This window comes from Homo sapiens, chromosome 3 (genome assembly GCF_000001405.40).
Source record: "Homo sapiens chromosome 3, GRCh38.p14 Primary Assembly".
Classification (NCBI taxonomy): Eukaryota; Metazoa; Chordata; class Mammalia; order Primates; family Hominidae; genus Homo; species Homo sapiens.
In genome coordinates, this window is record NC_000003.12 from 122,819,394 (window position 1) to 122,832,080 (window position 12,687).

A 12,687-nucleotide genomic window follows, 5' to 3' on the forward strand; every position below is an offset into this window, starting at 1 on the left:
TTTCACTGTATTTTTTTATGTATTTTCTATAGCTGGTACTTGGTAAGTTATTAAAAGCTTCTTTAGGGCCAAGACTGTAATGTTCATCTTCATATTCCCTTTAGTGCCTAGCTGCAGGTGCCTTGACCATAGCAGATACTCAATAGATATTTTTAATTGAATCATTATTGACCAAAATTAATAAAGGATACAAAAATAAAATAGATTTTTGTGAAAGAAAACTGAGGCTGTGATACCAAAGTTTTTGGAATGCTCATTACTTTTCCACCACCACCTCTATTTCTCTTTTCCTGTCTTCCTTTTTCCTGTAGTTAATTCATAACATCTCTAACCCTCTTTATTGCCCACCTTTTCTTGGGCTAAATAAAGGAAAACTATTTCCAGCACTTTTGCCATTTTCAACATCAAAAAAATCCTATAAACACATGACTTTTTTTTAAAGTTTTTTTTTTTTAAAGAATATGAGCTAAGAGTTTATTTTGATATGGCATAATTAGGAATTGGGAGAAAGTTTCTGAACTATTGACCTAATGAGTTTTGGAGGTAAGTATTTTTATGTATTCTAAATTACTTCATATTAAAAATATATAGAATTTAAATTCTGAATACTAGAATAGCACTGAGGAAGTATCTGCCAGATTTCTAAAAAGCCAACTCGAATGTTAGCATCAATGTTAGTCATAATAAACTAGAGGTTTATAAAGCAGGTTGATTAACAGAATAAAAATATTCTGTACTGTGTGCCTTTGGATTTAAGGAACATTGGATTTTCTTAACAATCAGTAATTTTTTTTATTATTAACAGAGAACCTTCAGAATGGGATCATGTGAGAGAGTAGAGATTTGTGGACTGATGAAATTAGCTATAATTTTGATTTCTAGTTCTGGCTGAGCCATTAGCTAGTTGTATGACTGGAGCTCCCTCCAATACTTTTTAAAGAAAGGAAAGTTATAAAATTATAAATGTGATTTTACATGTGTTATTAACTTTCTGGAAGGGGTTGGGTTATCTAGGTGAGGTCTGAAGTCACTTCTGGCTCTAAAGATTTTAATTCTAAAACATCATATTATTTAAGTAGAAATAATTTAGGAGTCATAGGTATTTCTTCCAGGATATTAGAAAGCAAAAGGTTAGGATACCAGAATATTAAATGCAAGCTAAAATGTCAACTACATTAGAAGATGTGAACTGTAGATCTTCAATTTGAACTTCAGCTATTGGCATTTGTCTGAAAAGCTATAGTCAATTGAATGATACAGAAAGAAATGCAGCTGTGCACCAGCTCCATCCCACGCACCCCTGCAGGCATTGTCCTCTGTGGGCAGGGGCACTAATCGAGGGCAGTGGGACTCTGCAGCGCACCTGGGGCTGAGCCTGGCTGGGTCCTCTCCTATTCCTGCCACAGGCTAGAAGTCTCAGCAGTGCTGATGCTAGTGGGCAGCACCAGGTCTCCCTCTCTAGTCTCCACCATTCCTGCTCTGCCAATGCAGGAGAAGTTCCCCTCTGATATGGTTTGGCTGTGTCCCCACCCAAATCTCATCTTGAACTGTAGTTCCCATAATCCCCACATGTGGGAGAGACCTGGTGGGAGGTAATTGAATCGGGGGTGGTTACCCCCATGCTGCTGTTCTTGTGATAGTGTGTGAGTGTCGTGAGATCTGATGGTTTTATAAAGGGCATTTCCCCTGCACACACTGTCTTGCCTGCCGCCATGTAAGGCATGCCTTTACTCCTCCTTCGCTTTCCACCATGATTCTGAGGCCTTCCAGCCATGTGGAACTGTGAGTCCATTAAACTTCTTTTTCTTTATAAATTACTCAGTCTCGGGTATGTCTTTATTAGCAGCAGAGAATGGACTAATACACCCTCTCTCATTCACTTTTCCATCTGGCTTGTGGGGATGGGATGAGCCAGGCTTCAGAAGTAGACAGAGGCTAGGTAAGGAGGAAAAAAAGGGAAAAGGAGAAAGACTTCAGAGAAGAGGGAAGAAAAGGGAGTTGGGGGCCGTGGGTTGGGAGGTGGATGGAGAAACAGGAGAGAGTTAAGGAGTCAGTATGAGGAGACTGGGCTGAAGGAGGAGGCACACATCTGCTTCCTGACAGATCTCTCACAGCTTGACCTGCAGAGGTGCAAGAGAAATGCAGTCCATTAACTGTGAGGATACACGTGCTTTCATCAGGTGTGGAGTTTCGGGTAAGGAGGCAAGAGTCAGACCCCTTGAATTAACTAGTCCATTACTGGACAACTGCCTTTCTGCTCCAGAGCTTATTGCCCAGAAGACAAAACTGCCTCCTCACACTCCTAACTTCTGCCCACCCTTCCCAAGTCCACTGTGCTTGAGACAGTTATGTCACATTGGCCTTGCTTTTAAAACACCCTAAAACATCCTTTTTTAAAATGTCACATTGGCCTTGCTTTTAAAGCACCCTAAAACATCTTTTTTTAAAAGCTTTATTTTGAGAATATTAGTCATCTTGTTTTTTGTATTACTGAATTTAAACTTGTTAAAATTTATCAATAGAACTGATCTGATGTATGCATTTGGATAACTTTGTGAAGTTTTGGAAACACAGTTTAGTTGCATATTTCAGTGACTGCATGTCCCTGTACTGGGCCCAGTCTGTGAGTTCCCGAGAGCATCCACACTGCCTTAGCGCTATGGGAGTGAGGCCTGTGGGGACTGCTGCCATGATCCTGACCTACAAGGACCTTAACTTTTACCTAGCAAAACAAAACTGAGGCATGTAATGATGACAAACAATTAATATTAAACTGTGTGGTTGACTTCACTGTACTGAAGATTATGAATCCCCCTCCTTCGTTTTTCTTTGTCGTTTTTAATAGTCAGCCCAGATCAACAGGTACTAGTTTCTGAGAGCCAGCTTCTTTCATAAGTGCTTAGAAAGCATTAGGATAATCGTGAGTCGCATTTTATCTTTTAATGTGTGAAAGTGGAGAGACTTTTTAGTTCAGACTGTTCATTTAAGCTGGATGTTTTTTCTTTTCAGTTCACTTCGCTAAGCTTATATAGCTAATTTTTATTCCTGCATCTGTTTCTTCTAGAAATAGTCTAAATCTAGATTTCGATTTCCTCATGAGTCTGACTTCCATGCTGAACACTCCACTGAAACTGCTTCTACTCAGACCACAAATGACCTCTTCTTTGCTGAATCTGGTGGTTACATTTCAGTTATTATAAACGATCTTTCTGTTTGATGTGATGTTGTTGACCACTTGCTCTTATGTTCTTGGAACTCGTCTCTCTTTAGTTGCCGTGATACCAGTCTTTCCTCTTTTGCTTTTTTTCTGCCTTGTAATGGCTCCTTCTCAATCATCTTGCTCGACTCCCATTCCTCTATTTTTAAAATGTTGTTATTCTCTAGTGTTTCTTCCCCACCCCAATCCACCTACAACTTATATTTCTCAGCTCAGACTGCTTTTCTTAGCTTCTGGCCTATATTAGCCACATGTTAGATGTTTGCACAGAGTTATGGGTGCCCTCCAGTATCCACCCCCTCTCCTTGCCATATATATTGTATCACCTTAACGGTTCTCCAGACCATCCGCCCTCCACCTCCCCACTGTGTTGCCAGTACCACTTTAAACCATGCCATAGAGTCCCTGTCCTGGATTCCATGCCTGAGGGTGTCCCATTCTGGCTTTCTTTCAGCCTTGCCCTTCCATGTGGGTTGAGGATTTCATAGGGCCAAGGGGATGTGCACACCCTGCCCTCTACCCTCTAGTCTTATGCACTAGCTACACAAGACCCCAGAAATAGGCCTTACAACAAGCCTGTTTCCCAGGCCTGCTCTTCCAAGAGTAGGCTGCATCCCTGCTGTGTACTTCCTAGGCCTAAGGGATAGCTAAGGGGCAGCTGTTTGGAGGGGATAGTTGGAGCTTAGATGGAGTTGGACCTTCAGCTCCACATGCATATATGCAAAGCCCTGATATATAGGCCAGGGCCAGAGGTCAGAAGAGAAGAAGGACATGCAGAGACCTCCATCTGTACTCTTGTCATAGGCAGCATAAGCATAGGGCAAGGCCTAACTATTGCCTTCTTTTTCTTTATATTCCTGCTACAGTGCTAGTATCACTGTACTTTTAGGGATTCTTAAGGGCAAGGGCTTTAGCTTTTTAATTTTACATTCTCATTTGCCTGTCACAGTGCCTACCCAACACATGGTGACTACTCAATATATGTTTGTTGAATTAAGTAATAAATGCATAGTTACCATTTTATAATTATTTTATTTCCTTTATTATCATTTTAAAGAGGTTATGGTAATGTTCATATGATTTTATGATGTCTTAGGGTCAATATTTTTCCAGAAAAAATGTATCTCTAATTTGCATTCCTATTAAATGGAAAAATTAGACTTAATGTATAAAGCAGAATTTTATTTTTACATATCTTTTTACAGATTTATTTCGTAAAATGATGTTTGTTAATGGTAGGTGGTAGAAAATAGTGTCAGGCAAACATGACAATCTTAATATTACAGATTACTGTAACATCACAGTCCCCAGGACAACAGTGCTTATGACCAGTTGTAACACATTAGAAGCTGCTGAACCCTGAGGGACGCTAGGATATAAGTGTCAGAAGGAGCAGGACTAAGTTCTGGAAAACTACAAAGTGCTGGGAGGAGTGGGACTGGGTTTCCCTGCCAGGTTTCTCATGAATTCAGAGGATAACTAGTTCTCCTACTGAGCTTGTTTATGAAGAGTGTATGTATGATGACTTTTAATACAAAAGCATGTAATTATCTAAAATTGGAGTAACTTTGCAACACCACATAAGCTTATTTTAATTCCTGAGATGGTTTTTAACTCTAACTTATATGCCCTAGATTGGCCTCCCAAGTTCAAGGACCTTTAAACCAAGAACCCATCTGAAGTGTCCCTGGTGCTATTCCTTCTTTGGATACTACTTTAACACGTACTGTATCGTAGTGAGAAATGTTCTGGTCTAAGAGTCAAGTAAACTGGATTTGGATGGCCCTTAAATTATCTGAAACTCACACATTCTCTGACTCTTAGGTCAGACTCTGCTGCTTGGGTAATAGTCTATTTGTGATTCCACTGAGAGGTGACAAAGAGTTAAGCCATGGCAATAATTTGAGTTTTATACCTTAACTATGAGGAGCTTCACTTTGCTTCTCTTCTCTTCTCTTCTTTCTTTCTCTTTCTTTCTTTCCTGTCTTTCCTTTCCTTTCTTTTCTTTCTCTTTCTTTCTTTCTTTCTTTTTCCTTCCCTCCCTCCCTCTCGTCTTTCCTTCCTTCCTTCCCTCCCTCCCTTCCTTTCTTCCTTTCCTTTCCTTTCTTTTTTTTTCCTTCTTTTTTTTTTTTTTTTTTTTGAGACAAAATCTTGCTCTGTCGCCCAGGCTGTAGTGCAGTGGCACAATCTCTGCTCACTGCAACCTCTGCCTCCCAAGCTCAAGTGATTCTCGCGCCTCAGCCTTCTGAGTAGCTGGGATTACAGGCATGCGTCACCATGCCCAGCTAATTTTTGTATTTTTAGAGGAGGTGGGGTTTTGTCATGTTGGCCAGGCTGGTCTTGAACTCCTGGCCTCAAGTGATCCACCCACCTCGGCCTCCCAAAGTGCTGGGGTTACAGGCATGAGCCACTGTTCCCAGCCAGGAGTCCTGCTTTCTTATCAGTCTTTTTGTTTGTTTGTTTTTGATTTATTTCTTCCATGTTCTCCTTCTACCCTTAACATTTTTAGACATAGTAAAGTTTACTCATTCCAAGCCTTCTAGTTGACATGAGTCTAATACCTCATTAAAAGTATCAAATATCAAAGCAGTTACTTTATGGGTCATCACACACTGTCTCATTGTTGTGCCATCACATGCAATGATTAAAACCACTTAATGACGTTATTGCTGGAACATTTCTGTAATAAAATTGCTGTGGGACAGCTTTGGTTCCACTGGCTTTTGGAGGACATAAACAGTTTAAATTATTTCTGTCATCTGGAAAATAATTCCCCTTACACAGAGAGATTTTTAAATGTCTTGAGTTTTTTTAATTTAGTAATATCAATATCAATGACACTTGGAGCTATGTTGCCTTCATATAATTTTTCCAACATAACGAAGCTATGGGCAGCCCTAATTCACATATTTCACTTCCCACTCACTTCTGTTTCTACATTAGGGCCCTTCCTCTCCCCACGTGCCTGTTTATTTTTCTCTTCGGCATTCAGCAAACTTTTCTAACTGGCTTAAGATGGCAGTTTAAAAAAAAAAAGAGGATTTGAGACTCACATAGTGCTTAGAAAGCAAAACAAGCAGAAGAAAAAGATGAGTTCATATCATGAAATGTCACATGTACTGTCCCTTCCCTTTCCTCTACCTCCAGGGCAAGAGAGGTCGACACATCTCCCTTTCTTGTCTATGCTTTCTTTGGACTTCTGGCCTCTTTTCTATTTCAAGGCAGCTCTTAAATGTGAATGTGTATATTGGGGGTGAGGGAGTAATGGGAGAAAAGAGTTGGTCAACAAGGAACAGGAGTGCTAAGGAGAATATTGGGAAAAGGTCAGCAAGAGAACAAATGGAATGGAAAAAAGAAACTGCTTTTCATTAACCCTTACAATTAAAGTCAGAATTAGAGTATGAGAACTGGAAGGGACTTAGTGGTCCTGTCATTACAGTACCCTAACCTAACAGATGCTCCGTAAATGCATATTCAACTTCAGCTGATCTCCTCATTTCACGAGGGAAGAAATGGAACCCCACAAAGTTAGGTATTGTTCAGGGCTAGCCCTGAGCTCAGCTGGAACCCAGGTCCTCCGGTTCCTCAACTACCTTTTCTATTAGAAGATATTTTAATGAGTCTTTCATTTTTTGTATTTCCACCATTTGGCAAAGAGTGGGTATGAAATGTTGAGCTCAACTATAAGGCTGGTGGCACTTAGTAGGTCTGTTAATGAGTGGCAGTCTAGTAGAAGGAGTATGGATTTTGGAATCAGACCTGGATCTAAACTTCAGCTCTGCCTGTCAGCGCTTGGGCAAGTTTCTTAATCTTTCCAAATCTAGGATTTTTCATCTCAGTAAATGGGGATCATAATAGCTACCACTTAGTGTTGTTATAACAACTAAATGAAGCAAGGTTCTAAGTACTTACAGGAAGTACTTAGTTTGATGTGTGGCACAAATCATAGGTCACAGTAAATATTTGTGAAATGAATAAATGGTAACTATTACTATGTTTGATCCTCCCTCATAGGGAGTCAACATACCTGTTTTAGAAGGTAAATCAACATGTCTTTTAGGCATGTCATATTCTTTACAGATATGTATACTTATTGCCATAGTTAAAAACTGCTGTTTGGCTCATTTCTTTTTGTCTTAGAAAATGCCTGTTTCAAATACCTCACAGCCTTTTAATTTTTAAATTCCAGATTAATTCATGGAGGACAGATGTTAAATGGATTGGCAGGTCCAACTGTAATGAATGCAGCACCATTTCTCTCTACGACGTGGTTTTCTGCAGATGAAAGGGCCACAGCCACAGCTATTGCATCAATGCTCAGTTATCTTGGGGGAGCATGTGCATTTTTAGTTGGACCACTTGTTGTTCCAGCTCCCAATGGGACATCACCTCTTCTTGCTGCAGAGAGCAGCAGGGCGCATATTAAAGATCGCATAGAGGCTGTGTTATATGCAGGTAATTTGAAGTTTATTTTCTTCTTGTTATACTTTGTCTTTTATCTCAATCATCTTCACTCTACTTTTTGTATAACAGATACCTTCATATGAAATACTTGAGAGGACTAATATGTAAATTTACATGCACTGTGCATTCCTTGTCATATGATATAGAGATGCTTAATTAAAACTGAACACTCTTCCTAGGAAGTTAAGTTTTAAATTTATTATTGCCACATGGAGGGGTATTTCTTAATTTTAGTCTTTTCATCTATTTACGGTTAAGTACTGTATAACACATTTTCTATGTCCTCTCTAGATATCTTATCAGGATATAAAACGTCATGACTGACAATAACCTTTTGTTAAACATCTATCTGTTGGTAGGTGTTAAGCCCGTTTTCTCCCTTGTAGTTTCTCCATTATTAGCCATGTTCTGTAACCTTATTTACCTTGATCATCTACAGTTTATCCTCATTTCCTACTCTCTGTATGTTTAGTCTGTTATCAGGGATACTGACCTTTCTAAAATATTCTTTGAATTATTTTATTTCTAGAGTCAAGCCCTGGTCCACTCTTATAGTATAGTCTCCTACGGATTTTCATAGATATAGCCCCTCTCTCTATATCCCTGTTTGTTATTTCCTCTGCATTCAGAACACTTTTTGTAGGTGTTTACTATATGCCAAGCACTGTGCTAAGCACTAGGAATTGGTAAGGTCAACGATGAGACAATTATAATACAAGTAGAGATATACAGAGGTTGGGAGACCTAACTTGCCTGGGTTTGTAGGGAAGTTGAGGGGGCAGGAAAGGCTTCAACAAGAATGTAATAATTAAAGTTAAGAATTTTGTAGGAGTTCACCAAGTGTTTGAGTGGTTAGTGTATTCCATACAGAGGGAACAGTAACTGCAAAGGCAGGGAAGGTATGAGAGAGCTCAGTATGTCTAGGGAACTGCAAGTAATTGAGTATGGCTGGAGTGGTGTAAATGTTTGTGTTTGGGTATGGGTAACAAGTGGCAGAAAATGAGACTGGAATGATAAGGGACCCAATTATACTGAACCTTGTTTTAACTTTTTTGTTCACTTATAAATTTCACAAACATGTTTTGAACGCCTATGTATCTGTCACTATGTGAGTCACTGAGATAGGCATGGTTCCTGGTGTAACAGAACTTACAGTGTCCTGAATGGTACAGACAGGTAAACAATTGTAAAATAGAGCAGGGAGTATTATAAACCAAAGGCCTACAATTGCTCTGAGAGCTCGGAGAAGGAGCACCTAACCCAGATTTTGGAGGTAAAGTAGAGCTTCCTGGAGATGCAGCTTCTAAATCAGAGCCTGAGGAATGAGAGAACGATGGTTAAATACAGTAGGCAGGAAGATTACACTGTAGAGAGGAAACTTAAAGGAGAAGTCCAGTGAAGGGAGACACCCTGGTACGTTCAAGCCCAGAGTGGCTTAGATCTAGTGAGAGTACTAGTAGGTGAAGCTAGAGAGGAAGGCAAGCCCCACGCAAACCTTCTAAGCAGGCCTGAAGGGTTTAAGGTTCACCACATTGTAGGCAAAGGCCACACTCTGAAGAACTGTATGTCAGAGAGTTATTTGATGACATTTACATTTCAAAATATGGTTTAGAAGGATTAAAACTGAAAGCAAGGGTAGCAGCAGTATATAAAGCATTTCACCTCCTTTACACAACTTATTCCTTTTAAAGAAAAAATAAAAATGTAAAAATGAGTAAATAAAACTGAACGCAGGTGAAACATAAGTTTTAAACTTTATTTTGGTCATGTTATTATTTTTATTGAAAACCTAAGCAATGATTGTATTTTTTACATGATGTTAAGCACTGTTAAGCATATATTAATGCAGTACATGCAGCTCATGGTTCTCATGCAGTCAAGCAGAAGCCCCTGCTCAAAGCTTCCCAGTTACTTCTTCATTGCTTTCATGTTTGCCAATCTGCCTTTCTGAAAGACTGTCCCAGGACTTCATTCTATTCAAAATACTGTACTAGAATTGTCATTTTAAAAAGTTAGAGATTCTTAAATTATTCCCGACAAAGGTAACATAAGAAAAGTAAACTACAGATCCAAATCTCAGATGAGTATAAACACAAAAGTCCTGAACAAAATACTAGCAAACTGATTCCAGCAACATATATCATAAAACGGATGATATACCATGACTAAATGGGATTTATTCCAGCAATGCAAGGTTGGTTTAACATTCAAAACTCAATTTATGGAATGTATCATATCAGCAGATAAAAGGGAAAAAACATGATCATCTTAAAAGATGAAGAAAAAGCATTTGACAAATCCAACACCCTTTCAATGAACTGGAAACAATCAATGAATTAGGAATAGACAGGAACTCTCTCAACCTAATAAAAAGCATCTATTGGAAACCCACAAGAGGCCTGGCACAGTGGCTTGTGCCTGTAATCCCAGCACTGTGGGAGGCCGACAAGGGAGGATCACTTGAGGCCAGAAGTCTGAGACCAGCCTGGCCAACATAGCAAAACCCCATCTCTACTAAAAAGAAAAATGGCCGGACATGATGGCACATGCCTGTAATCCCAGTTACTCGGGAGGCTGAGGCACGAGAATCGTTTGAGCCTGGGAGGCAGAGGTTATAATGTGAGCCAAGATCACACCACTGCACTCCAGCCTGGGTGACAAACAAACAAACAAACAAAAAACCTGGAGGTAACATCACATTTCACTTCTAGGGTTATGAACAAGACAAGGATGTCCATTTTTCCATGCCTTTTTAAAACTGTGCTGGAGGTTCTAGGCAGTATCACTGAACAAGAAAAGCAAAAGATATCCAGATTGTAAGGGAAGTAGTAAAGAATATCTCTGTTGAAAATGATCTTGAATATAGAAAATTATCTGGAGTTCACTAAAAACTATTAGATCTAAAAAAAGATTTTAGCAAAGTTTTATGGTACAAGATTAATATGTAAAAATCAATTGTCTATATATTGGCAATGAACAATCTTAACATGCAATTCAATTTGCAATAGCATCAAAAAGAATAAAAGATTTAGGAATAAACTTAACAAATGAAGTGCAGAACTTATAATCTGAAGACTACCACTGTTGAAAGAAATTTAAAAAGACCTAAATAAATGGAAAGGCATTCCATGTTCATGTTGGGAGGTTTAATATTGTGAAGATATCCCCAAGTTTATCTGCAAATGTAGTGCAATCCCTTTAAAAATCCCAGCTGCCTTTGTTGCAGAAATCGACAAGGCGATCCTGAAATTTACATGGAAATGCAAAGGACCAGCAATATCCAAAACAATCTTGAAAAGGAACAAAATTGGAGAACTCAGACTTCTCAACTACAAAACTTATTACAAAGCTATAAGATAGCATAGTACTGGCATAAGGATAGGCATATAAATCAGTAGAATAGAAATGAGATTCTAAAAAAGTGATACTGCGTAGAAACGCCATTACATTTATGGTTAATTGATTTTTCAGAAGGGTCCCAAGATAATAAGGGAAAAAGTCTTTTCAGTAAATGGTACAGGAATAACTGAATATCCAAATTCAAAAGAATGAATTTGAACCCCGTTGTTAACTCAAACCTAAATGTAAGAGCTAAAACTATAAAACTCTTGGAAGAAAACTAACAAGTAAATCTTTATGACCTTGGATTAGGTGAAGCCTTTTTATAAAAGACACCAAAAGCACCAGTGACAAAGGAAAAAAGATAAATTAGACTTCATCACAATTTAAAATTTTTGTGCTTCAAAGAACCCAGAGAGTGAAAAAGACAGTCCACAGAATGGGAGAAAATAATTGCAAATCATATATCTGATAAGGGACTTATATTCAGATTATATAAAGCATTCTTACAACTCAACAACAGAAAGACAACGCCATTAAGAAGTGGGTAAAGGACTCAAACACATTTCTCCCAAGAAAATACACAAATGTTCATCGAACACATGAAAGATACTCAGTGTCATTAGTCATTAGGGAAATGCAAATCAAAACCATGGTAAGATACACTTCACACCCAGTAGGATTGCTAGAATCAATAAAATGGAAAATAATAAAGTACTGGCAAGAAAGTGGAGAAATTAGAACCTTCATACATTCCCATATGTGGGAATGTAAAATGGTGTAGCCGCATTGGAAACAGTTTCACAGTTCCTCAAAATGTTAAACAAAGATTACCATACAATCCAGAAATTACATTTCTAGATATATATCCAAGTGAAATGAAAACATACACCCATGTAAAAATGTATACATGAGCATTATTTATAATAGCGAAAAAGTGGAAACAACCCAGATGTCTATCTACTGATAAGTGGATGAACAAAATGTGATATATCTGTGCAATGGAATATTATTTGACAATAAAAAATACTAAAGTACTGATACATACTCCAACATGAATGACCCTTGAGAACATTATGCAAAGTGAAAGAAGCCAGTCATAAAAGACCACATATTATATGATTCCATTTATAGGAAATGTCCATAATACTCAAATCTATAGGGACTAAAAGTAGATCAGAGGTTGCCTAGGGCTGGGAGATTGAGAGTAATGGGTACAGAGTTTCTTTTTGGGTTGTTGAAAAAATTCTAAAATTGATTGTGGTTATGATTGTACAATTCTGCTGGTAAATGAAAAACCACTAGATTGTGCACTTTAAATGTGTGCATTGTATGTCATGTGAATTATATCTCAGTGAAGTTGTTTACAAAAATGCCAGTAGATGGTCAAAGAATATGAATAAGGCAATCATGCAAGACATACAGGTGGCCAATATGCATATTTTAGGTGCTCATTCAGTATTACTAATAATTAAAATAACTCTAAATTAGAACAGTTCATTAACTTCTTGTTGCTCCTTAGATTGACAAAGACTAAACAGACTGAAAACACCAAAAAAAAAAAGAAAGAAAAAAAAGGAATCTGCTAACAATCTTGTGTTTAAAAAAATAGGAATCTTTAAATTTCTAACTGAATTAAACAGAATTATCTGTGGTTAATTGTCTTA

At 38.2% G+C, this 12,687-nt stretch overlaps 1 protein-coding gene across 1 annotated transcript in view; it reads left to right on the plus strand.

The window, feature by feature from the left end:
• The window catches only part of SLC49A4 (solute carrier family 49 member 4), an 86,071-nt gene that overhangs the window by 24,325 nt on the left and 49,059 nt on the right, over nucleotides 1-12,687 (plus strand). The window contains exon 3 of the mRNA NM_032839.3: nucleotides 7,407-7,672. Within this exon, the coding sequence (NP_116228.1) occupies nucleotides 7,407-7,672 (266 nt within the window). The remainder of the gene's footprint in view (nucleotides 1-7,406; nucleotides 7,673-12,687) is intronic.